The following is a 25,638-nucleotide window of genomic DNA, read 5'->3' on the forward strand; positions in this document are numbered from 1 at the left end:
CAAGTCAGCCTGCCTGGCTGGCGCTCAACTCAGTGTTGTCCCAGGCTGCTTTTCCCCCTCCCTCCCTCCCCTCTAAATCTTGGCACCGCACACTTTCATTTTAGTTCTTTTCCTCATCTTCTGTTTTATGTTTTTGGCCACAGAGGATGCAGATTTAAATCAAAAGTCAGCTTAGATCATTTTGAAGAGCTGCTGATGAGTGGTCTTGCCTTGCCATTTGTTTTATTAGACTGCATCCTGCCCTTCCCTGCGTGGTTTAAAAGCTCTGTGCAGCTGGGAAGAGTGATGGGGCTGCCAGGGTGCTGCCCAGAGGCCCAGGGCTTCCTGATGACATTGCATTATGGAAAAGCTGTAATAACATTCCACTCTTTAGCCTCCTCTTTAATCACACAGGGGACACTGGAGGGATGGGGTGGCGGTGGGGGATGAATATCTCCCAGGCTGCCCTGAGCCCCTGCTCCACAGAGATGGGAAGGATCCATGTTTGCTCTTCCACATCTCCTATCTGGAGGACCAAGTTAGAGTTCCCGTGGGACCGAAGAGGAAACTGAGGTAGGGGAGATGCTTAGGAGATCTACCAGCACTCGGAGCACACTAACCGTATGAGGACATGGGCAGAGGAAGGATCTAGGTCAGAACCTGCAGCCCTGGCACTGCCAGGCCCCTGCCATCCCCTCACGCTCTCCACTTGCTCTGTATGTCTTTGTTTCTCCTTAGGTCAGGTATCAACTTGACTTGAGGTTTATGGAGAAAGAGGTTCTCATCAAACCTATTTCCTCTTTTTAGGCACACAGTTAATTATATGACACATCAGACCCCCTGGCATCTGGGTGGGGCCACATGGCTAGTTCTTGCCCATGGGAGGTAGATGTGCCTTCTCCCTGCTGTCTGACTTTTACCCATCAACAGCAGCCTTGTAGATTGTGTTTGAAGAGGGTGGTGTCACATGATGGAAAGAACCTGGGTTCCTGAATGACTGTGTGGAGCAGGGGGCTCTCCGCTAACCACATTGGATTGTAACATTATGCTGCTGATACTTGGGGATTGTTTGTTAGCAGTTAGCCTAACTCCAACTAATACCTGTGTATTACTAATTCAGTTATTCAATTAGTAATTACTAATACCTGTGTACCTCGATTCAAAAAAGAAGAGGGCTCTTCCCTTACCCAGTTGGGTAAGGGAAGCCAGCCGAGAGGCTCTTACAGTCTTCCAGACAAGAGGGAGCCGTAGAGGTAGAAGTTTCAGAGGTCCTTTTTAGTTTTCATGTTCAGGGGTTTCTCCATTTCCATCTTAATCTCTCAGTGCCCAAGTATATCAACCCCTTGTGGCCACTCCAAACCGTTACTTGCCATTCCCTGGGCAGAATGCTCGATTCCCCTTTCCCATACTTGTTGATACTTTTCCTGGAACACCTGCCCCTCTTCATCACGTTTCAGACTTGACTCTCTTTCAAGTTGCAGCTCAAACACCACCTCCGCAATCACCCCATGAGGCGGTGAGCCCTCGCTGCCGCTCCTCTCTGGGTAGCACTGCACAGCTGAGCAGATGGTCCTCATCCCCTCTTGAAGCACCCGTGAGATTTTCATAAGGAGGTCTGACTCCTCTGTTAAATTATGAGGTTCCTAGCAATAACGATATGATCCTCACGCTTCCTTGTTTCCTGTATAGGCCTTAACACTGTGTTGTTTGTACTGGGCACTCAAGAAGGAAGGGAGGGAGTCAGGGAGGGAGGGAGGGAGGGAGGACTGATTAATGAAATCACAAACAAATGAATGAGCTACTTAGCCAGATTTTCAAGGGCTTAGCACTGTGTTGTATGTACCAGACACTCAGTAAATACTTGGTGAGAAGGAAGGAGGGAGGGAGGGAAGGCAGGAAGGAAAGAAGGAAAGAAGGACAGAATAATGACATCACAAATGAACGATCTACTTGACTAGATTTTCAAGTGTTTCCACCATCTGGGCTCATTCCATTTCTCTTCTACTACTTCCAACCACAAAACCCCCATTCCAAATGGGTTGTTCTGTCTACAGACTCATGGGCATGCTGGACTTTTCCTTTCCCCCACTCTCCACCCGCCCTCCCCTCACCCATCGCCCAGCCCTTCTCCACTCCTGTCACCCTTCAGGGTTCAGATGGAGCTCCACCTCCGTCAACAGTGTTAGTGATGCCCCTGTTCTGAACGAACATCTTCAACTGTAAATGATAGGGTTGATCGTCTGCCCCACACAGGTGATCCTCTGTCTCACTTGGTCCTGTCTTGCATGGTTTGTGTCAGTTCATGTGTGTTATTCTTGCCTCCCTATCTAGAATACAGGCTCCCCAAGAGCTGCATCTTCTCCAGCATGAGCCGGGAGATGAGCAAGGAATAGCTGCTCAGTGTACTCTTGCTGACTGCCAGATTATTTAGGGCTCCCTCACTCTTTTTGCCATTTTCAAGTAAACACAGATTGGAGACCAAAAACATACACACCCCACCATCTCTTCTTTCCATGCCTTTCTCCTCTCCTGCTTCCCAGATTGGAGCAACTGGGTGGGCTCATTCAGTTTCTAAATTCATTGAGTTTCTGAATCTGCAGAGTCATGCGCAAATTTTCAGATCACAGCAACCCCTCGGAGTCTGTTAGTCCAGTAAGAATGCGCTAAAACCAGTAGACAACTTTGTTCCCCCAACTTTTTTTTTTTTAAACAACAAATTACTTTTTTTAGGGACATATTTAGGAGGAGATGGGAACATGGGCTGGGCCTCAAATGATTTGGAGGAAGAAGAAGGCCTCATACATGAGGGGTGCCATGGGGTAAAGGAATAGCTGAGAGAGGGGGCATCACCTGGGCAAGAATTGGGACCCCAGCCACAGAGAATAGTTGTGACACAGCTAATGACCTGGGTGGGCCAGCCCCCAAAGACTTGGATTCCAGCTGATCATCTCTGTGCCATCCTCGGGCAAGTCCCCTCACACTGAGAGCTGAGAACAGGTGGAGAAATGAGAAGCTAAGCAGGGGGTTTGGACTTGGTTGATGTGGTTCCAGATTCTCAAACAAGGAACTGGCCTGGAAAAGGCAGTATTTAGGGCTCTGTTTTGTCATTAGCAAATATTTAGTTTTAGGCTGACTCCCTTTTGTCGCCCAACATGCTCTGACTCAACTCTCCCACCTTGGGCACACAGCATGCAAATGAATCACATCATTGCCTTGGCCAAACATAATTTGGGAAGTGAACCTGCTTAGAAACCCATAGAGTATGTTCTAAAATTAAACAAAAGGTTTTGTTTTGTTTTTTTTGTTTTTGTTTTTTTAATTATCCAGTCCATTCTTTCTTTTTATTAGTGTGGATTTTGGAGTGTGGATAGTAATTATCCATGAGAATAAAAAAATTACTTAATTGTACATTGTATGAGATTCAAATAAAAGGACCACTTCTCAGGTCTGGTGCCTCCCTTGCAGATACATGCAAATATTTTATTAGCCACCATTTCCACCCGAGTTCCCTGAAGGATTGTAGGAAATCAGTGAACTGTTCTTGTGGTATATGCTAGTCGCTCATAAATTGGAACTACCACACAGTGTGATCAGAATAAACAAATGGAAAGGGTAATAAGGCACACCAATAATCACTGGTGACCTCAGCAATTTTATTAACAAATTTATTTCCCTAATTGGGTAACGTATCTCAGTGCTTGACTCAAGGGCATCGTAATAGGTTTCCATACTGCAGAAGAAGGAATTAATTAGAACTGTTTGTTCTTATTCCATATTTACACTTGTCCACCAGTCTTGTAAACATTGCCCCTGGTTTCCTCCGTCCTCCAGGTTCTTCTGACTCCCCAACCCACCCCCAAAATAAATAAATAGAAAGCAGAGAGTAGAGCAGGACGTCAGTGGTCCCTTTTTATGTGCGTTCACCCCCACTGCAAGCCGCGTCTCATGGTCAGAATGTGGCAGAATGGGGAACTCCAAAGTCTGCTAAGAGATTCCTCATTTTAAGAGATTTTGGGGGAAAAAAAGGAAAAAAAAGCCTGTAAAGGGACCCTCCTTTCCACAGGCAAAAATGGAGAATCTGGGGTCTTGCTTTGCCAGAGCTCATGCCTGGGCTTGGCTTTGTCCACTTAGAAGCTGGGTGCAGAGCAGATGAGATGGGTAGATCTCTTCTGCTTCATCCTGTGTCACCTAAAACTCCGCTTAGGAAGATAAGAGGCATTCATGAGCTCTGCCTGCCCTTGGAGCGAGCAGTCCATACAAGGAGAAAAACCATGAGCTCATGAACTCACTCTTCAAGGCTGCTTCAAGTCAAGTTTTCTGCCTCACAGCTTGTGCGGACTGCAGCATGGCAACGAGTAAACATTTTTAGATGCAAATATTCCAGAATGTCAGCAATGCTGGCCTCTAACTTGGGCTGCCCCCTCCAGTGTACTCCAGAAGGTGCCACTTTATCCTGGCTGTCTGTTCTCCGATGAGCAGCATTAGAGCATAATGCCAGGGGATGTGGAATCACCTCCAGAGCTGATTTGTTCAGCAGCTGTTAATATAGTCTGCCATATATAGAGATGGTTTTTGAAGGTAGATAGGACTATTATGAAGACATCTAAGGGGTGTCTGGACTACCCTAGCAACCAACAGGTCTCTATTTGAGATCTATAGCCCAGAAGAATCCAGATAAGCCCAGGAAGTTTCATTCTCCCTCTTGGATATCCTGCAGGATCCTGATGAGGTTTTCCAGGCCAAAAATATAGCCAGGGTCTGGTCCATCGTAGGTGGTGTGCTCATTCCAGTAGCCCTTGTATGTGGTATGAGCAAAGTCAATCATGCGGATGTCAACCTTGGTGAGACCACCGGGAGAGCTACCGTGGGCTGCCTGGGGAGCCTCGTGAGGATGCGGGCTGCCTGGGGCTCTTTCTGGTGGTTCCTGCCCATCATAGATGACAAGGAGAGAGCTGGAATAGAAGCGGTATGAACTCTGGCTCCTAATGACAGAGAGGAGGGCCCGGAGCTGGTGCAGGATGGGCTCCAGGAGCTCCCTCCGGAGGTGGCTTCCATTATGTAGGAACTGATAGAGGGCTTGTCTGAACCCCTCCACTGAGAGTTTTCTTCCATAGTACTTGTCTTTGCAGAGAAAGTACTTCTTATCTGTTTGATAAACCTTACATTAAAAAGAATAAAGAAAATGTGAAGATTGGAAACTTAAACAAATTGTATCTGGTACGGTTGCAGCATCATAAGCTGGGATAATATATGAACAGATTTTTAGGAGATGTAGGGCAAGAGTGACTGAAATGAGCAGAAGATGATCTTCCATCAAGTGCCAGAGTAGCTTTTACATTTTAAAATGCTTTCTGTGCAAGTCTTTAATAGTAATCCAAGGTCTAAAGATCCTTCACCCCACAGAGGTGACCCTCCACCCACGAGGAAAACGTTTGGATCTTCTTTCTTGTGAATTTCCAATGTCAACCTCCAAATCATGATTTAAGCCCTGGCTCCTGGCCCTCTTCAATTCAAATATTAGCAAACCCAAGCTAGAAAGCTTTAATAGGAATCTGAAATCACAGCCAATGGCCTTGGAAAGCCAACTAGATTAAAATTTCCTCAGCAAAGTTTATAAAGTCCTTTCTCTGCAGATTCCAAGGCAACAGTAATGCCTCTTGAAGTGGAGTGGGGTGAATTGTTTGAAGATAAAAAGACAGGCTAGGTCAGGTGTGGACAGGGTTTCTAGGCAGCCAGTGCAGTTGAGGGGAGCCTGGTGGAGGAGGGAGGTTCATGGCAGCTCTGTGGGGCTGGTGGCTCCTCTCCTTGGCACCATCTCTCCTCCCCTCCCCTGTTGTGTCTTGGCCACCAGAAGGGAGCAGATGGAAGAGAGATACTGATGGGGGACAGTGGCAGCAACCCCCATTTCATTCAGATGGCACAGGCAGCAGCTGAGGCTGAACTAAGGCCAGCAGTGGGCATGGCCGGGGGGGGGTGGCACCCCTCTGCCTGGCATACCTAGAAGGGGCAGCCTGTGCCTGGCCAAGACAGTTTCTCAGGTCTTTCCTGCCTTCAGATTACATGATATGTTCATAGAAAACCAGTGTTGAAAAAAATCGGAAAGATATGATAGCCTTAGTGTTGCCTTTGGAGGGCTGCAGATTGGCTGCTAAATCAGCCGTCAAAAATACCTGACAGGCATCACTTTCTAAATAAATCAGATCAATTTCAGAAGATTTGAGGTCCAGAGAGAGATTCCATTTACACCACAAATCATCACACTCCATTCTCTTGAGGACTACATTCCCGGCTTTCCAAAGGACATCTGTGCAACAAATTTATAGACTCAACTTCCAGCTTCAAGGGGTGGCGGTTTCAATTAAGAAAAGCTATAACGTTTACCGTCAAATCAGTGTCTGGTTTTGCTTTGAGCAGACAGACTATAAGAGGGAACGAGTAGAGGAAGTTTATTTTATCCTGTTCTCCTGCAGCCCCTGTCATAAGCCACATCAGAGCCCCAAAAAGGAGGCGTGGAGTCTGAGTTATAGAAAATAACCATTCCTTTGCAGGGTTAGCAGGTTATGAGCTTCCCACTTTATTAACCAGAACTGGTAGCAAAAAGGAGCAGAAAAGGTGGATTAAGAAGGGGAAATGGCTAATAGAAATTTAAAGAGCTGACTGCCATACAGCATCTAAGAAGGAGAGAATTCAGCTTTATCATTCAAGAGAAGGAGGACTCAGGAAGCCACGGGGTGCACCAAGAAGCCCTTTCTCTTAGTCCTTACCCCAGCCCAGCCTCACACACTGCATCAAAGGTCTGCTCACAACATGAGCAGGAGCCACATGGCCACTGTGGAAAGTTTCGGCTGCCAAAGATTGTGAGACAAAGTTCAAATGTGATGGTTTTTGACATCACTATTCTGAAGGGTGCTTTTGGAAAGATCCAGTGTGGGCCGGGCGCAGTGGCTCACACCTGTAGTCCCAGCACTTTGGGAGGCCAAGGCGGGCAGATCACGAGGTCAGGAGATCGAGACCACGGTGAAACCCCATCTCTACTGAAAACACAAAAAATTAGCCAGGCGTGGGGGTGGGCACCTGTAGTCCCAGCTACTCGGGAGGCTGAGGCAGGAGAATGGCATGAACCCGGGAGGCGGAGGTTGCAGTGAGCTGAGATTGTGCCACTGCACTCCAGCCTGGGCGACAGAGCAAGACTCCGTCTCAAAAAAAAAAAAAAAAAATAGAAAAAAGAAAATTTCCAGTGTGTCATAGACCAGGGTATGCATTTCCTTGTTGGAGGCTCCTGGCCTCCTCTGTGGCTCCTCCAGAGTGAAGGGCTCTGCAGGGGGGCAGTGGCATCTGGATGGGAGATATCCTTGCCCCACCGTGGACGTGCCGGGATGTCCCCCCCTGTGGTGGGTCCCCTGCGACCTACCTGCATGCCGCAGATGCGCACACCCAGGCAGGCTGAGGTGCTCTGCGCACACTTCCTCATGTGGCGGGCCTTCTTCTCCTCCGATGCATCATCGCCGTGCTGCCGGGTCCCCATCTTCAGATCCAGGACACAGGGATGCGTGTACTGTGACACTACATTTTCCAGCAACAAGAACCCTAGTCACACTAAGTTAAGGAAGGCTCTGAGGACTTCAGAACTGCTGCTCCGCCAGAGGTCGTTTGCATGCCTCAGAAGCTGCCTGGAAATTCCCTATTCTGGGCACCATTCTTCACTCCCATTGCCTTCCTTACAGACAAGCTCATCCTTGCTATTAAGAATTTGAAGTATTAGCTTTGCAGGCTGCTTTAATAAGTCCATTTATTTAGGGGGAGTTTATGAGTATGTGAGCTTTTTTTTCCTTTTACATTTTGCTCCGAGGTTGAAATTTAAACGCAAGTGTGAAATCCCTAGCAGGCCATGCCCAATTTACATTTTACGGCAGAAAATCATAAGGCTAAAACCTTCAGTCCTGCTGAATGGACCAATACCTTTTGGGAGAAGTGGGTTGATGTTAGCTTTGGAGATGAGTTGCAGGAATATTAATTTCAGTGGAGTAATTATCCTGCAAAAGCTTCTTAGGGATTAGGATTGCAGATGTGTCTTGGTAAATACTATGAAACCAGCCACCCATTTGCAGGAAGGAGCAGAGCAGTGGTGATGAAGGGGTATTTCAAACCTAAATTTTCTTCCTGAAAACTCTGTAGGGGAGGGGGACTTACCTCCTCCCATAGTCTACCCCATGGGTGCTCCACTAAGGGAGGAGCCACACTTCCCTCTCACTGTGTGGGCCCCATGGGAAGACGCCTGCAGGGAGAATTTGGAGGGATGGAAGGGAGGTTGGGGCTGGGGGCCCATCCAGCTTTCTGAGCCCCCTGCTGCCCCCACGCAACATGGCATTCCTTATTCCTGTCTAACCACAGACATGCCCATCCCAACCCATCTTTACTGCCAAGTAGCAAAGACACAGCCAGGGCCCCCCCAGGGCACTGCGCTCAGTATAATTCCATCTGCCTTCCCCATACTGTCTAGCTGTTCTTTTGGAGGCACCTGATTTCTTCTAGGACCCGGGTTTGAGGGCTTGTGCCTTCCAGCTATCCCTCACATCTGTCTCTCCCTGCTACCCTCCATTGGCCCCGTGTTTGTGTGTGTTTCCTCTACCCACCTCTGCCCCTCTGTGTCTCTCTGTCGCCCCGCCCTTGGGACCACATGTGAGGGGGATGGCAAGGATACGATGCCGCTTGTTCTCTGGGTACTCGGAGCACAGGCGGGTCAGGTGGGCCTGGTGGCATTGCAGGCCCCACGGGTTGAAGCTCTTCCTCTCAACCTGGTTTCCGTTGGTGTCTTCCACCAGCGAGAAGGCTGGAGTGTTGAGGTGGGGCTCGGACCTCAGAAGAGCCTTGGCCGGGCTGCGGCGGAGTGGAGCACAGGACGGTCAGAGCAGAGGTCTGGGGAAGGGCGCCGCTGCCTGTGGCTGACTGGGCTCTCTGAGATGGGCTCTGAAAGGGTGGTCCCAGCTGCTCTCCAGGGCAGCCCTCACCAGGCTGGGGCACCCTCCCTGCCCAACTCCGGTTCTAGGGCCAGATTTCACCACACTGCAGCCCTCAAGGGGCTTCTCCAAACCCTGGAGAACTTATTAGAACATGTTGCCCCCTTAGAGGGCTGAGGTGATTTAAACTCACTTGTAAGTGATCTGGATTATTAATGGCCTTATTATTGAGGCGACACACTAAGGGGGCAGTGGCCCTATCCGGAATCACAAGCCTGGGGTTGGACTCTGACAATCCAGCAGGCAGGCCGTCACCTCCCTGAGACCTCAGAAGGGCACAGGAGTGGGGTGGGAGCTGTGGTGAGCGTGGACAGCGGCCGGCCCTCTTCTCCTGCCCTCTTGGCATCTTGGCGTCACCATCTGTGAAATGGAGATAATGCTCCTGCTTCCTGACTCCAAGCCCAGAGGCTTAATGAGATCTGCAGCACTCCTTGGGAAGGGAGATATTTTCATTGTATTAGCTCCCTTTTGTTTCCCATAAATGTTTTAAAAAGCCGTGGGGAGCCTTTTCACCTGAGAAAGGTCAGCTGACATTGTCAAAGGTTTTTGATAGGGACCTCAGGCACCTGAGCCTCCTGCATCTCCAGGGACCCTCTGAGCACCACATTGACCTCCCTCCTGGCCCCTTCCAACTGCTAGGGAAAGAGGTGATTTCTGAGAGCAATTAGCCACACTTTTCCTCTACATACACTATTCTAGGGTTTCTGTTTTGTGTACTTCCTCCCCAGAGACACTTCATGGTCTCAGTGAAACAGATATTTAATTAAACAAATATGTACTGAATACCTACTCAGTAGACAACTCTGCCTGTGCATCAACTTCTGGGATAAAATGCATCGTAATCCTCCCTTCTAGGAGTGACATAAAGAAAATCCATTCCTTTCTTTGGTCACATTGGTTATTCTAGACAGAGCATTCATCTGAATTTCTTTTTCTCAGCACCAGCCTTAATAGGGAGTGGTTGGCCTTGGGCACAGGTGGGAGCAGTGCCGGTCCCTGCCGAGGGACAGGGTTTCTGTCATCCTGCCCAGTGCCCTCACCTCTCCTTGGGTGAGCGTGCCAGCTGGGCATGCGGCCACTGGGCAAGGGTGCAGTCGCTGCCATTGCTGCCGGTGGTCTGCTGGAGCGTCTGCCATATGGCCACCGCCGCCGACTCTGTGGAGACCTTGAAGGGCTCCTGGCTCTCCTTCACTGGGTTGGCAACCAAGCTGAGATGGCCTGTGCTGTCTTTCCAGAGGTGCACTGTGACGGTACCTGCAAACACACAGGGAAGGGGAGGGGAGGAGCCAGTTGAGAGAGCCTCCACACGGACATGCAGGAGTGATGACGAGTTGGGAATTTAGCTTAATGGCCCTGGTCCACCTCCTCCGTTCCCCAGCTCCTCTCTCAAGGAAGAGCTATGGGACTGGCCTGGTTTTGCCTGAACCGATCCTGTCCCAGAATGAGCCCTGGAGCTTGGAGAAAATAGCCTTGGGCTGATCTTGGCACATCCTCTGCTTTATCGCACTTCCCTGCCTCTTTGCGCTTTCAACAAAGTCAACTCCGCACATTTTGTCCTTGCGTTCCAGTTCCTCTGTGCGCAGTCACACCTCCCAGTCACACCACAGCCAACCCAGCTCTGCCTGACCTGGGGGCATTGGAGCTGGTCCTCTGCGAAGGGGCCGCCCACCTCAGAGTGCCAGTGAGGGAAGTTGGGCCCATCCCATCCCTCCTCCGTGCCCTCTGCCTCCTGAGCACCCTTCTTCTCCCTCCCACGTGTCTTTATCGGACCTGCTTCTTCCAGGAAGGCTTCCTCTCACAGCCTTCCAGGGCTCAGGGCTCCCCTTTGCCCCTTCACTTGCCCTCCCCCGTCTGTCTGCCCTTGAGCTGATGGCCTGCCATTTCCTCTGGTTAGATGCATCCACACATGAAGATTATTGGTGGAACATGGTTCTTTGATGAAACAAGCCTTGTGAGATTTCCCCAACTGTGGTACATCCTACCATCGGTGTTGGTCATTGAGGCACAAAAAAACACTGGTTGTGAAAGTGAAGAGTATCTGAAACGCCCTTACCCTACATACTAAGGGGTGTTCTCCTGGACATTGGTCGGGCTTGAGTAATTAGCTGTGGCAGGCACATTAGCAGCTCTGTAGCCACCCTTTAGCGTCCTTCCTCTGGTGGTGGCAGAACCCAGGCCTTCCTCCGTGGAGCTTGGCCTCCAGTGGTGCCTGGCCTCGCCAGAGTCTTGGTAGTAGCACAGGAGATGGCCACCCTTGTGGTTTTGGGAGAAGTGGAGGTGAGAATACATGTCCTCTCTCCTAATGCGCTCACCCTCTCTGTGCCTGCCCTCAGCAGCCCACTCTGCACCCCCTCTGTCCTGCTTTATGCTGAAGGAGTGACCTGATGGAGTATACCAGTGGCTCCCTTGCCCTCTAGTTTCCCAGTGGATTTGCCCAGTGGGGGGCACTGGCAGGAGATGGGAGGGTGGGAGGAGAAAGGATGGGCGTTTATTCCACTGGTTCCCACCCCTCTTCACCATGTTCATACCCTGCTGTGTTCCTCTGTGGCCCTCCTGGCCTGGGGTGGTGACAGCTTTCCAGTGTTGCTGGTCCCTGGGTCCCCCCAGTCCCTGGTTGTACCCCTGAATCCTGCATATATTTCTGCAAACAGTTCCTTTTTTCTTTCTTTCTTTCTTTTTTTTTTTGAGATGGAGTCTCGCTCTGTTGCCCAGGCTGGAGTGCAGTGGCGCAATCTCGGCTCACTGCAACCTCCGCCTCCCGGGTTCAAGCAGTTCTCTTGCCTCAGCCTTCCGAGTAGCTTGGATTACAGGTGCCCGCCACTGCACCCGGCTAATTTTTGTATTTTTAGTAGAGACGGGGTTTCATCATCTTGGCTAGGCTGGTGTCGAACTCCTGACCTTGTGATCCACCCACCCTGGCCTCCCAAAGTGCTGGGATTGCAGGTGTGAGCCACCGTGCCCTGCCAAACAGTTCCTTTTTAAGGTTGTCTTCATTTAATCTCCTTTGAGTGTGCCTTTTGTTTTCTGCTGGGCCCTGACCGAAAGAGGGTAGGCCGCATGTTTTTATGTCCTTCAAGCTGTTTATTTCTCCCCCCAGCCACGTGGTCACCTTCTCAGAGTAAGTGGCAATTTCTGCTGAGCCAGCCGTGAAGGCGGCTCATCTCTCGGCTTGCATGCCTGCCGGGCCCTCCTGGGCTGGTCAGCGTGGACACTCGTTATCAGGGCTGCTCTATAATTTAGCAAGTCACTCTCCAGAGCTGCCTGTGCCTAGCTGAGCGGTCTCCCTGGGCCAGTCCTGTCATCTCAGATTCCCAGTGCCCTAATTTTGCAGCCTGAGAGTGACATTCAGTTCTCTCCATCTCCTAAAAGGTGCTGCCTTTCCTCACACCATCCCAGGCTCCCGTGTCCTGTGAAGTCATCATGATGATAATGATAACGCTGTCCCTGAACCTGGCATTTTACCATTCACCTGCCACTAGCGTCCACCCCTAGGCCAAGCCCACTGTCGCTGTCCTGCTCGTGAGACAGGGGCTGACGGCAGGTTGAGGAAGGAATCACAGAGCATCATAGCCACCCTGTCTTCCACCTGCTGGGTGGCATGTTGCTGCTTTTCCCTTGCTACCACTAAGTCACAGTACGCCTGTAAGGGTTTTGACGGTGGGCGCCTAGGCTCGGAGAGATGGGATAATCTGCCCAAGGTCACATGGTCGGTGTGGGGTGGAGCTCTGGGAGGGCCATGCCAGACGTGGGGATGGAGGAAAGGACAGGCTGTTCCAGAAGGTCTGGTGTTGTCACGCTGTTTACCCCAAGTTTGCATTAGGGACATTCCTGCTGTGTCCCCTGTCATGTTTGTTCTGGTCATTCTGTTCCATAGGAGAGAACAGAGACGCTGTGATTCCCTCCCCTCAGGGAGGGTCGTCAGCGCTGAGGGCTGGGAGCCCAGGCTGCAAGGAGATGGTGTTTACATTTCCAGGCCTGTGTCTTGGGGAAGGAGGATTGGAGTGCTTTGTTCTAGGGAGGAGAACTGACCTTTCAGAAACCAATGACTGTCCCAAGCCCATCTTTCCAGGTGCGAGAAGGGGAGAGAGCCAGCAGCCTCGTGCAGTTCCTGGGGAACCCCGAGGCCTCCTAGCTGCCTGGGGAGCCTGGTGTGCCGGTCCTGTGCAGGGCCCTTTTGGGTCTTGGAAAATTCAAGCTGCCCTCCAGCACTCCCCTGGCCCTGCCACACGTGACCCTGGCCCTGCCACACGTGAGGCTATGGTGACAGGTCTGCCAGAAACCACAGTCTTGGGAGCCCCAGGCCCAGGAGGTCTCCCTGGAGGGACAGGAAGCGTGACCTTCACCCACTCCTCCAGGCTCCAGTACTTGTCTGATCTCATCAGTTCTGAGTGTCTGAGTAAATGGAGGAGAGCAGAGGTGCAAATAACCCAAAACCAATAAAATCCAAAAGTCATTTCCATTTCTCATATTGTCAGAGTTACACAGCCAGGCTCTGCATCTCTGCCTCTCTGTCTTTCTGCGTGCCTCTGACGGGCTGTGTCTGTCTCCAGCTCTTGTCTGTCTTTCCCTGTCACACCCTCTGTGGCTCAGCGCAGCCCTTCCCTCTGAAGTCGGGGACCCCAAGTAGATAGCCCCCTTAAAAACAGTCTCCAGTTGCCTGCCCTTGGCAGAGCAGCATGCCAGTGGAATCCAGGCTTCTCGGTGCTTGACCTGTTCAAGAGCCATGCAAGCTCCAGCCTGGTCTCCAGCTTGCCCTGTGTGTCTGTGGGGACAAGGCCTTGGAGGCCCACGGGTTCCCAGAGCTCTCCTGACCAGGAGAGTGTGGGACCCAGCCAGAGTCTTCCTGCCTGCCCAGCCCTCCCCATGCATCTCAACCCGAGACCATGCCAGCTGGACAGACAAGAGAGCTTACTGCCACAACTGGCATGCCCAGAGCATCTCAGCACTTTTGGTTTGGCCGAGTAGCTTCCTGAGCCTCCGTGAATATTCTATCATGTATTTATTTTTAAGTTTATGAGAGCATTTACTTGCTGCCATCTGTAATATGAATCGGGTCAATTGTTAACCAACTGGACTTACGAGTATGTCCTCATTCCCCAGTGCTGGCCGGCAGCCTGGCAGGAGAGGGATGCAGCCCCAGGGCACCATCATGCCTGCGGAGCCCAGCAAAGGTCCCAGGCGAACTCTGACCCAAGAGGCTGCCCTCTGGAGTGGCATCCCTGCCCATCATCCTCCCTGATGCCATCGTGGCGCAGGGTGGCGAGAAGGGAGAACATGCACTCTGTGGCATGTGGTGGCCACTTCAGAAATGGCCCCTCTCAGTGGGGGCTGTTCCTATAGGGGAGAAAAAGGAGACCCTTGTGGCAGCCTTGTGGGGATTCAAGTGCCCCTGACCTGAGGTCCTAGCTGAATGACCCTGGGCAAGTCACGCCCCCTCCCTCCTTGGGCTAGATGACCCCTGAACACTGACACCCGAGTCCACCCCTTTAGTAACAGTGTAGCTGAGTGGAGCTGGCCCATGTGGCCAAGAGCCCACAGTCAGGAGCCAGACCTCAGGGCTTGGAATCCTGGCTCTGCCTCTCAGTGTCCGTGTTGGCCTCAGGCATGCCAGGTAACCTCTCTGTGCCTCAGCTTCCTCATCTATGACAGGGCGGATAAAGGTCCCTGCCTCAGTGTGCTGCGAGGATTGTGTGAATTAGTGCACGGAAGCTGCTTATAGTTGTGTCAGGCACAGCAGACACGGAGGTTTAGCAGATGTGGCTTTGCTTAGCAGCAGCCTACACCACCCGAGAGCCCTTTCAGGGACTCTTCCCATCTACGAGCAGACCTCAGCCACCTGTCCTCCTTCCCCTACCCCAGGCATCTGAGCACCTGAGTCCTGGTTCTGGGCCTTTTCCTAGAGTCTTCTTAAATGTGCATATTTCATTAGTTAGTGCTTGGGCAGTGGCCCTGTGTGAGTCGTGTTCTGGTCAGTGAGTGAATCAGCATTTCTGCTTCATCAAAACTTCAGCCCACGGGCTCTGTCTGCCTCCACCTGCAGGCAGAGTAGGTGGCCGGCTAGGTGGTTTCTGAAGGGTGTCAGGGGGTGCCCTGACCCAGGTCCCTCCTGGCTTATATAGAAACATCATCTCCTGTGTGAAGCCTGAAGGCAGATGCTGAGGCATCCCCTGTAGCTATGGATACAATTAGCTCTGACGCCTTGGCTCAAATTAATGTACTGAGTTAGCAGAGCCCCAAGGGGGCTGGCCCTGGGATGGGGCTGACCTGAAGGGGAAAGCAGGGTGGAGCAGAGGCCTGAACAGAGATCAGTGCTCAAGGGCACTGAGAGTGGGGCCCTCCTACCCACACTGGCTCATGGCCGTTGCAGATGGGGAGCAGAGGAGGGGATGAGGACAGCCTCCTGAAGGCCAGGCCAGCCTCTCTGCCTCTCCCACTTAGCCTGCGGCTGCCCGGCATCCATCTCAGCCCCAGAGCTGTGTGGAGCAAGCGTGAAATGGTGCTGGCAGGAGGCCGCCCCACACATGATCCTGCCACCCCTCTGCTGGGCTAAGTTTAGTTGTGAAGGAACAGACATTAATTCCAGTGGGTGCTCTGACAAGATGGGAAGTGACCCCACAACCAGCCAGGCAACACCAGCCTGCGGGCCGGGAAGACCCCAGGGAGAGGGAGGCCCACACAGGCAGCCCATGGACCATCTTCCCCTGTCTCTCCGTGTGTGACGCTGATCGGTCTTGTCTTAGACTCTCAGGAGGTCCTGGCAGGCTGGCCTGGAATCCAGGCATGTGTGAAACAGTGCTTGGAAGCAATGCTCAAGGCTCCAGGCCCTGGTCCCCCTACCGGCATTAGGTCTGGACCGTGTTAAATAAGAATTCCTGGCTGGGCGCAGTGGCTCACGCCTGTAATCCCAACACTTTGGGAGGCTGAGGTGGGTGGATCACCTGAGGTTGGGAGTTCGAGACCAGCCTGACCACCATGGAGAAACCCCGTCTCTACTAAAAATACAAAAATTGGCCGAGCATGGTGGCAGGCGCCTGTAATCCCAGTTACTCCGGAGGCTGAGGCAGGAGAATCGCTTGAACCTGGGAGGCGGAAGTTGCAATGAGCCAAGATCGCGCCATTGCACTCCAGCCTGGGCAACAAGACCGAAACTCCGTCTCAAAAAAAAAAAAAAAAAAAAAAGAGAATTCCTGACCCTCACCCCAAGACCCCAGGGGATTCTGATTCACAGGTCTGGCATGGGGCGTGGGGACCTGTGCGCCTTTGTGCACATACACGCCGGATTCTAGTAAAGTGGGTTTCCCAGGCCAGATTGCACTTGAGAAACACCAGGCCCCATCCTTCCCAGTTATCTTAATCATTGAAATGCAAATGTGTTTTTGACTGACTTATTTGGATATTATTGTCACCTTCACCACCAATACTTTGACAATGAGGGCAGCAGCTTGCAGTCATGGGGTCTACCGTCCTCTAAAGAGGTTATTTCTCTGAGCACTCACCTCACTGCTGGGCCGGCTGCCTGGCAGAGTGTGGCTGAGCCCTTTGAGCCTCACTTTCAGAAGGCTGGGTGTGGACAAATCAGCCTGTCCTGGGGAGCCCGACCCCTGCCTGAAGGCCAGCAGGCAGCACCCTCCCCACCCACTTTCTTTCCCCAGAACCCACCTTGTGCTCAGATCCAAGACACATGCTGCCCCATGCAGAAGTTTCCCAGCTACACGCAAGCGGCAGCCCGTATCCCTGGCTTTGCCTCTTCCTGGGTGAGGGCGGGAGTTCTGGCTTCCCAAGCAAGCCACATCGCAGCATCCCAAGCCCTGTCCCAGGCCTGAGGGTCCCGCCATCCTCCTTGGCTTTCAGAGGGAGGTTAAGGAGGCCCCATTTTGCCCTGTGTTTACAGCCAGCATGAGATGGCTGGCTATGGCACCGGGAAGGCACAGACCAGAATGCCGCCTTGGAGACTGGGTGGGACCAGGGTGTTGTTTTATTCTCTCCATCCCTCAAAGCCTGGTGACTTGAGCTAATTTATAAGGAAACCAAACGGCATTACACTCCAGACCTGGAGGCTTGAAGAGTTCAGAGAAACTAGGACAGAGAAGGCCAGCCCCGCTGGGAGAGGGGCGCGTCTCTGTGGCAACCCTTACACACACCCACACCACAGGAGGACGTGGTGGGTGCATTGGATGAGCCGGCCCCCGTGTGGCAGCACCCAGACGTGGCCTGGCTGCCTAGACACTCACCTTTGTACTGTGGGGTGAACCGCTTCATGGCCAGCGGCAGGGATTCATAGAACCTCTGCTCCCGGGAGACGAGGGGCTTGCACACCGTATGCTCGTCATACTTCATCACGCTCATGTGCCCCCCGACCTGGTGCAGGAAGGGCTCCAGCTGCACGCCTGCCCTCATGTCCCCGGCGTCTGCGCTGTTTTGCACAACCATGGCGGCAGATGGTGGTGGTGGGGGGTCCCTGCACAGTCTGCTAGAGGAAGGTTTGAAGTAGAAAGGGCAGCTCCCAACAGCACACGGGGCTGTCAGCGGTCCTCAACTTTCTCCTTCTTGGCCTTTATTGCTGTCATAGCGCAGTTGTCCTCCTGTCTGTGGGTTCTCAGCGGGGTCCTCTGGAAAGCAGGGGAGGAAGGAGGAAGTTATATGAGGGAGGTGGTGGCTGGGGCAGGGCAGCGCTTGGAAGGGCCCACACAGCCTCGACCCCAGAACAGGTTCCTCACTGGTACCTTAAACAGGACTGTAAATATCCATTGATTACTTCTGGAATAATCTGTCATGAGAAACCAGTTACAGTGGTTGCCTCCATGGAGCAGGGATGAGAAGGAGACTTATTTATTTATTTAAGATGTGGTCTTGCTCTGTCGCCCAGGCTGGAGTGCAGTGGCATGATCTTGGCTCACTGCAGGCTTGACCTCCTGGGCTCAAATGATCCTCCCACCTCAGCCTCCAAGTAGCTGGGACTACAGGTGTGTGCCAGCATGCCCAACTAATTTTATATTTTTTGTAGAAACGGGGTCTCACCATGTTGCCTGGGCTGGTCTCAAACTCCTGAGCTCAAGTGATCCACCCACCTTGGCCTCCCAAGTGCTAGGATTATAGGCGTGAGCCACTGTGCCCAGCCAGAGACTTTAAATAATGTTTTGTACTTTTTGAATTTAAATATTAAAACATTTTAAAAATTCAAGCAACATACTAAGCTTCTAGAGTGCAGAGACTGTATCTTAACTTCACCTGACATGTTGCCTGCCTTCATCTGGAACACTCATCCCAGGCCCAACAAGAAGCAAGCTGAGCCACTGCTGCTGGGGCTCTCACTGTCCTGCAGGGGATTATGGGTACGGGAGTGCTTGCTTGCTTGCTTTATTTATTTATTTATTTAGAGACAGAGTCTCACTCTGTTGCCCAGGCTGGAGTGCAGTGGTGTGATCTCGGCTCACTGCAACTTTTGCCTCCCGGGTTCAAGCGATTCTCCTGCCTCAGGCTCCCGAGCAGCTGGGATTACAGGCGCCTGCCACCACATCCGGCTAATTTTTGTATTTTTTAGTAGAGACAGGGTTTCGCCATGTTGGCCAGGCTGGTCTCGAACTCCTGACCTCAGGTGATCCACCCTCCTTGGCCTCCCAAAGTGCTGGGATTACAGGCGTGAGCCACCATGCCCGGCCAGGAGTGCTTTATTTTTGTACAGCATGGGTGTGCATCATTGATTTACATCATGATACCATGACATAATTGCTGTGGGACCTCAGACAAGTTACTGAACTTTTCTGGGCCTCAATTTCTCCTTCTCCCTCTGTAGAACAGGATAATAATGATACCCACCTCATGGAGTTAGGGACATGGTTGAGATAAGGCCCGTGGAAAGGACAGCCCAGCACCCAGAGCAAAGCGTTCAGTAAATCTGATCATTATTTCTAGCATTATTGCCATGCTGGTCCTATTTTCCTCACAGCTCTGGGTTGTAGGACAGGCAGGCCACTTTGCAAATGAGGAGAGTGAGGCCTACAGTACCATGCGCAGGGTTGCGGCTGGCCAGGAGAGTGGGAAGTAAAGCCGGGGCCTGCTCTTCTCTAGGCCTGGCCCCCTCCTCCCCCTCCCACTCCTCTTACTCTCCCTGAGGGTGGGCCTGTGGGTCTCAGGCAAAAGCTGGCGCTCTGGGCTGGAAACACAGCCCCTAAAGACGTCCTGACTTTGTCTCAGGAGAGTGCGAAGGAGACACTGCAAGGGGAGGCTCTTCCTGCCCTGTTCGTCCTGTCCTGAGAGCACATTCCCACAGCGGTGCCCTGAGAGCACATTCCCACAGCGGTGCCCTGAGAGCACATTCCCACAGTGGTGCCTGTCACCACCGAGTTATTAATACTCGCTCCCTCTGCTGGACTCCTGGTCATGGATGCCACCAGGCTGGGCAGTGCTGGGCATGATTAACGCTCTAATTGACCTTCAATCCAGGCCACGAGCACAGCCAGCTGGATTCATGCACAGCAGTGCCCATCAATTTGTTCAGGCCTCTGGCTCAGAGAGGCTCCTGCCAGCCGCCCGGACCTCCAGCTCACTCGGGCATTGAAAACCTCAACACAGCCTGTTCATTCCCCAACACTGGGCCTCTTCCACATTGGCTACTGCCCTACAGGCCAGAAGTGCCTCTATAGGAGGGAGAAGGAGTGTGGCTTTTGGCTGGTACGTAGGATGCGGGGTGAGCCTTCTGTGGCTGGCTGCGTAGCTGGAGTGACTGGGTGAACCGGGGCTGCTCGGGTGGGAGGATGGAGGCCTAATGGTGAGGGGGCTGGGCCTAAGACTCCAGCCTAGGCATTGATCCAGCTCTGCTCCAGTGTGGCACAGAGGTGAGCCCCATCTGGAAGCTGTTTCAGGACCTGAGAAAAGAAGTTGGTGACAGGTATCTGGACACAGAGGAAAATTGGCCCACAAAAAAAGCTGATAACTTCAGTTTGCTAACCCTTTGGTTATGGGACAGGATATGCCAGTTGCCTGTAAACCCAATCCTACTTGCAAATTTGGAGAAGGCAAGAAGGAGTAGAGCAGAGAAGCCAAGGCAGCCTGATGCCTCCCCTCTCGCTGGGCTTGCTGGCATGTCGGCCTTTGCCAGCTGACCTGTCCCCAGGCAGAGAAACTTTTGGTGACCACAGGGACATCTAGTCTGTAAAGTTCATTTATAGCCACTCTTGGAAGGGGCAAGACTCCTGCCCCGCACACTTGTATCCCCAGGGCTGGCCCCACACTAGCCAGACCTGGCCTCAGCGGATGCCAGCCCAGCTCCACAGCCGCGTCCCAGCCAAATCACACCTGGGCCTCGTGCTGCTGCACTGGGAAGTCCACACCCCTCGTCTTTCCCCAGCTCACATTCCCAAAGAGCTCTAAGGACATGGATGTCACCGCGGCAAGGTGTGGCAAGGAAATAATGGCAATAAATGGTTACATGCATACAGCGCTTGCTGTAGCCATGTTCTAGTGCTTTGTATAGAGTAACCTATTTAAGCCTTACAATCCATAATAACCCTATGAGGCAATTCGTGTTACCAGCCCCGTTTTACAGATGAGAAAACGGAGGCACAGAGAGGTTAAGTAGCTTCCCTATCTGCACCTAGCTAGTATAGGAAGAGCAGGGATTTGAACCCAGGCATGGTAGCCCCAGAGTGTGCGTCCCGGCCACACTGCAGGGGGCTGAGGGTTGTTGTTTATATACTTTAAACTTCAGGAAATTGAGCCACAAGGAGGCCAGGACTTGGCCAAAGTCACCTGTAAGTCACTGGCAGTGCTGGGGCAGGTTTTCCTGTCTCCCAGGCCTGGTCTACCCCCTGGCCTGTCCCCTATCCCACTTGATGACATTCAGTACATGGGCTAGGAGTGGGTGGGCTGGAGAGGGGAGCACATCTGTCTCCTACCTCTGCAGAAACCACCACAAGGGATCAGGCTGAAGGCCCATCTAGAGCAGGGGTTGGTATCGACCTTCCCCACAGCCTCCTGGCTGGGGGTATCAGTGAGACCCGAGAGGCACTGTCATTCCCAGCAGGGAACTGGTTCCTGCTGCAACCTTCCCCTCTGATCTCAGATGTTCTCAGGAACCCTGGCTGTACCTCCTCAGAGAGCGCAGTGTGAGCAGGGAAGACCCCTGGGCCTTCAGTGCAGCCTGTGGCACAGCAGTGGAAACTCCCTTGCCCCTGGACTTGGACGGATTGGCAGCGATTGTCTACCAGGTAGCCAGCCTGTGAAAAAAAAAAGAAAACCTGGACTTGGCTGCTAGGGAAACTGAGGCCCTTTCTCTTGGGGGTCAGCCTAGGATGTAGATTAGGTGACATCTGCAGGGCCTCCTGCTCCTGAGCTGTGTGGTCTGCAATTCTGACACAGGTTGGTGGGAAGGGGCAGAAGGAGGAGGGAGGAGCAGTGGCTTCTGCCCCTGGAGCTTCAGCTGGGGCTGGGCAGGGTGGGTTTCGCCGCTGCTCGGGAAGGCAGTCTGTGGCTTCCCCTTGGCACTGATGCTGACCTCAAATTCCCAAGGAAGAGTAGGGTTCTTTATCTGTTTCTGCCTTTGTGTGTGGCCTCCAGCTCTGTGGGATTGAGCTGGGGAAGGCCCCTGTTTTTCCCATTCCTCACGGGCAAGTCCCAATTAAATCATTCAAGTTGGCAGGACCTTTCTCAGCCCAGACCTTCCTTTTGCCACATGCAGGCACTTCTGCCGTTGGCATGGGCCCTGCCTTTGATCAACGCCCTGGGCCTGTTCTGTTTCCTAAGAGCCTTGGGCAAGAGTCAGAAGTCCAGGGTCTACTCCAGGCGCTCCTGGAGCTTGCTGAGGCCTGAGATGAACTGGGGAAGTGCTCTGAGGCTTGGCTTGTCACCCTCTGCCACAGCCTTGTCATGATGCTCGGAAGACAAAGTGAAGACACTCCTTTGTGGAGTCCTCCTTCCAAGCATTGCCACCACGCAGGGTCTGTCACTGCCTGCATTATTCTCAGGACCGACTTCCATGAGTCAACTTGGGTGCTGCATGGCAGGTGAGGTGCCTGCTGCCAAATATCCTTGGCTCTCTTTAGTGCTTTGAAGGGAGACAGTTGTCCCTGTCTTCAGCCCACATCTCCTCCCACATCCCTACAGCTCAGACCCCTTGCCCAGCATCCTTCCCTAGGGCTCCTTGGGGAGGCATAGGGGGAGTAAGAATAAAGCAGGGAAGAGGGTGAGATGCCTCTAGCCAGAAGAGCTCAACTTAAAGGCTGCCTAACTCCTGCCACCACCAGGAAGTGGACAGATGGCCCCAGGTCTCTGTGTCCTCCTGCCCTGTCGTTGCATCATGTCCTGAATGAAGTAACGCTGGGCCTCACTCCAGGAGACTCCAGGGCTAATTTCTGCTGATGGGGCGCAGACACCGAGCTGGTTGTTAAATGAGGCCCTGGGCTGTCTGTGCCAGTACAGACCCTGCTCCGCAGCCCCACAGGGCCTGAGTGACAGCCAGCCTGTGCTAGCCTGTGAGACACTCCCCAGTCAGAAAAGAGGGTCACTGACAGCAGGGCCGTGAGTGGGTTTGGCTTCCAGAGTGGAGACACAGGACAATACCAGTGATTCTAAGACCCCAAGACCTCGCTGATGCCAGACACAATGACAGATGCCACCCATCAAGCCGAGGCGGATAAGGGCATCATAACTTGTCACAACCCGTCGGCACATTTTTATTTCCGGAGAGTCTTTGTATCTTATAACCGCTTTCCACATGCTAAATCTGAGTTCATTAACATTACGGAAGATGCATCTCTTTTAGGACTCACACTCCCATTTTAGGGAAGGTGGCAGACGAAACCACAAATCAAACTTGTAGGGGTTCAAAATAGGAATAGATTAGTCATGGACTATATCTTATCAAAGCCTGCTGGCTTCTTATATCCGCAAACAGACTGGCTGACTGTGGCCATTGTCAGGGCTGTTCACAACATTCTGTTTTTCCCTGTGAGAATGTGGTATGATTGCAGCTGTGAAGGTAAGCGTGGCTCACGTGATTTGCTTTTGCCAGCATCACGTGGGTGGGTGCCATGTGTTACTTCTGGGTGGGAACTTCAAGAGATGTTCCCCCCATTCTCTTTCCCTGGCCATGGTGATCTTGGAAGCACATGCTGAGGTGTGGCCTCTGTCAGTAGGGTCCCTAAGTGACTGTACATACTGGATATATAGCATTATGGAAATAAATCTTCACTCTATGAAGTCACTGAGATTTGGGGGTGGCTTGTTATGCAGCAGGACCTAGTCCATCCTGCCTGATGCACTAACTCACAGCCAGGCACCCAGTATGGAGCTCTTAAGTTGAAAGCAACTTCACTTTGCCTGGCGTGGTGGCTCACGCCTGTAATTCCAGCACTGTAGGAGGCCAAGGCGGGTGAATCACTTGAAGCCAGGAGTTCGAGACTAGCCTAAGCCAACATGGTGAAACCCCCTCTCTACTAAAAATATTTTAAAAAGTAGCCAGGTGTGGTGGCGCATGCCTGTAATCCCAGCTACTCGGGAGGCTGAGGCAGAGGAATTGCTTGAATCTAGGAGGTGGAGGTTGCAGTGAGCCAAGATCATGTCATTGCACTCCAGCTTGGGCAACAGAGCGAGACTCCATCTCAAAAAAAAAAAAAAAAAAAAAAAAAGCCGGGCACAGTGGCTCACGCCTGTAATCCCAGCACTTTGGGAGGCCAAGGTGGGCGGATCACCTGAGGTCAGGAGTTCGAGACCAGCCTGACCAACATGGAGAAACCCTGTCTCTACTAAAAATACAAAATTAGCAGGGCGTGGTGACACGTGCCTGTAATCCCAGCTACTCGGGAGGCTGAGGCAGGAGAATCGCTTGAACCTGGGAGGCGGAGGTTGCGGTGAGCCAAGATCGTGCCATTGCACTCCAGCCTGGGCAACAACAGCAAAACTCCATCTCAGAAAAAAATAAACAAAAACAAGCAAAAAAAAAAAAAACAAAGCAACTTCACTTGAGTCAGGTACTCAAATAGTTCATTGCACAAACATATCCTATATCATAGTCACTCCTAAGGGTCAACTCTGGACCCCTGGCTTTACAATCACACCTCTGTGTCTCCAGCTAGGAATTTTCAGATGGAGACACTGAGGGTCAGAATGGTTGCAGAGTTTTCCCGGGGTCCAGAGCTATCAGGCACCAATGCTGGGACTCGGCCGTGATGAGTCTGTCTCACTCTGAAGTCGACGCCCATTCTGACCACGTGCAGTCTGCTTGGACGGGGAGTGGCTGCTGAGTTGCTCTGGCTGTCTCTGGGAGTCTCGGAGACCCAGGACCAAGACCCAAGTCAGGCTCTTAGGGCCAGGGTGCTGTCTGGGGCCCTCTTTATGCTGTTTGCCTCAGTAACCTGTGTCAGGATAGGGAGCTTTCAGAAGCTGCACCTGACTGGGCAGCAAGAACCGCACACCCAGGGGCAGCATGCTGCTGGTGGGCAGTGTCTAACGAAGTGCTTGGCAGCGTGGATTCTTAGGGCCCTGGGTGAGGGCTCCCACCCGGGGGGCCTGCCAAGACCTTACCCAAATCCTCACCACCACAATCTGCAGAGTAGGAAAGTAATCCCCTAGAGGCACGATAATTCTCAAATGTATGTAAATATGTTGGTAATTAACAAAATACAAATTCATTTAAAGGCATTATTGAATTCCTAGTAGTTTTTGTCATCGTCTATTTTTCTCAATCAACAGATCCTAAAAGTATAATGAGTATTGCATAGGGACTGGTAGGGAAAAAACTGTGTTGACAAATGGGTCCTGGAGAAGAGGTTAGGAGAGGTACTGCTCCTGGCTGAGATCAGGGTGGTTTGAGGGGTCTGGGAAGGAGTCCAGGAGGAGGGGAGATGTTGGCTCAGCCTTGGGGAGCTTGGGGAGGGCCTGCTTTGGGGAGTGTGTGTACAGGGAGCAATAGGGAAGGGCAAGGAGATGGTGGGAGGCGATGGCTGGAGGGGAGTGTTGTGTGGAGGAGGAGGATGCGGGAGTGCTTGGCTGGCCTTGCCAGTGCTGCAGCAGCAGGGCGTCTGCAGAGGCAGCCGGCAGTGGAGGGGGACGGAGAGTGAGCCCAGCCTGGCCAGCCAGAGGAGATGCTGGCCTGGGCCCCAGCTCAGTGCAGGGAGGTGGCACCCTGAGATCACCAAGGTGCTGAAGCCTTCGGGACCACATCCCGATAAATCTTAGGTGGTGGGGAGAGGGCTTTCTGGGTAGAAGATAATTAAGAAACAGCTTGTAGCAAAAGAAAACTGTAATATAAAATGTGGCAGACGGCAAAGCAGCATGGTTTATGGCCTGCCCTCTCACCTCTGAAGCTCTAACTTACATTTCACAGGTCTCTCGGAGCCAGAGGTTTGGTACAAGTACCATTCAATGTCTTTGTGATGCCCGAGGGAGCATTTTTTAATCTATTAGAGATGAGAGGACCCAAAAACCATTTAAAACCACTTAGGTTGTAATGGGCAGGAGAAATTTGGAGTTTCTCACATGGCTGAGGGGTTGTGCATCATCTGGGGCCATCCAGGTTGGAAGGCACAAGCTTATTTTCCAGGGGGAAAAATGGAGTTTTAAAATCCATTCTAAAAATGACTCAAGGGCTGTAGGATGGTGCGCCCTCTGTCCGTGTGGCTCTCCGGCTCGGTGGGATCAATACCTA

At 52.2% G+C, this 25,638-nt stretch overlaps 1 protein-coding gene across 9 annotated transcripts in view, besides 5 other annotated features; it reads right to left on the reverse strand.

Moving 5' to 3' along the window:
- Window positions 1-3,611: 3,611 nt before the first annotated feature.
- Window positions 3,612-25,638, reverse strand: part of IP6K3 (inositol hexakisphosphate kinase 3) — a 40,484-nt gene continuing 18,457 nt past the window's right edge. For 4 of the 9 annotated variants that reach the window (XM_024446324.2, XM_047418168.1, NM_001142883.2 and 1 more), the window contains 6 exons: window positions 21,083-21,211; window positions 17,228-17,605; window positions 10,037-10,250; window positions 8,681-8,856; window positions 7,391-7,566; window positions 3,612-5,137 (listed from right to left, as the gene is read on the reverse strand). In XM_024446324.2, coding sequence (XP_024302092.1) covers window positions 4,670-5,137; window positions 7,391-7,566; window positions 8,681-8,856; window positions 10,037-10,250; window positions 17,228-17,426 — 1,233 coding nt within the window. In that variant the 5' untranslated portion in view covers window positions 17,427-17,605; window positions 21,083-21,211 and the 3' untranslated portion in view covers window positions 3,612-4,669. Of the gene's footprint in view, window positions 6,284-7,390; window positions 7,567-8,680; window positions 8,857-9,786; window positions 10,251-17,227; window positions 17,606-21,082; window positions 21,212-25,638 lie in introns of those variants that run through there. The other 5 variants (XM_024446325.2, NM_054111.5, XM_005248842.4 and 2 more) reach the window with 3 other exon arrangements.
- Window positions 6,447-7,197: an enhancer, noted in NCBI's record as "NANOG-H3K4me1 hESC enhancer chr6:33692274-33693024 (GRCh37/hg19 assembly coordinates)". NCBI's record gives its function as "activates a minimal SCP1, AML or CMV promoter by ChIP-STARR-seq in naive H9 embryonic stem cells {active_cell/tissue: H9 hESC(naive)}" and the evidence as "EXISTENCE:reporter gene assay evidence [ECO:0000049][PMID:30033119]".
- Window positions 9,603-10,382: an enhancer, noted in NCBI's record as "H3K4me1 hESC enhancer chr6:33695430-33696209 (GRCh37/hg19 assembly coordinates)". NCBI's record gives its function as "activates a minimal SCP1, AML or CMV promoter by ChIP-STARR-seq in primed H9 embryonic stem cells {active_cell/tissue: H9 hESC(primed)}" and the evidence as "EXISTENCE:reporter gene assay evidence [ECO:0000049][PMID:30033119]".
- Window positions 10,383-11,161: an enhancer, noted in NCBI's record as "H3K4me1 hESC enhancer chr6:33696210-33696988 (GRCh37/hg19 assembly coordinates)". NCBI's record gives its function as "activates a minimal SCP1, AML or CMV promoter by ChIP-STARR-seq in primed H9 embryonic stem cells {active_cell/tissue: H9 hESC(primed)}" and the evidence as "EXISTENCE:reporter gene assay evidence [ECO:0000049][PMID:30033119]".
- Window positions 17,578-17,832: a silencer, noted in NCBI's record as "fragment chr6:33703405-33703659 (GRCh37/hg19 assembly coordinates)". NCBI's record gives its function as "represses an EF-1alpha promoter that drives an FKBP-Casp9 reporter gene in an ReSE screen in HepG2 liver carcinoma cells {active_cell/tissue: HepG2}" and the evidence as "EXISTENCE:reporter gene assay evidence [ECO:0000049][PMID:32094911]".
- Window positions 24,847-25,536: an enhancer, noted in NCBI's record as "H3K4me1 hESC enhancer chr6:33710674-33711363 (GRCh37/hg19 assembly coordinates)". NCBI's record gives its function as "activates a minimal SCP1, AML or CMV promoter by ChIP-STARR-seq in naive H9 embryonic stem cells {active_cell/tissue: H9 hESC(naive)}" and the evidence as "EXISTENCE:reporter gene assay evidence [ECO:0000049][PMID:30033119]".

This window comes from Homo sapiens, chromosome 6 (genome assembly GCF_000001405.40).
Source record: "Homo sapiens chromosome 6, GRCh38.p14 Primary Assembly".
Lineage (NCBI taxonomy): Eukaryota > Metazoa > Chordata > Mammalia > Primates > Hominidae > Homo > Homo sapiens.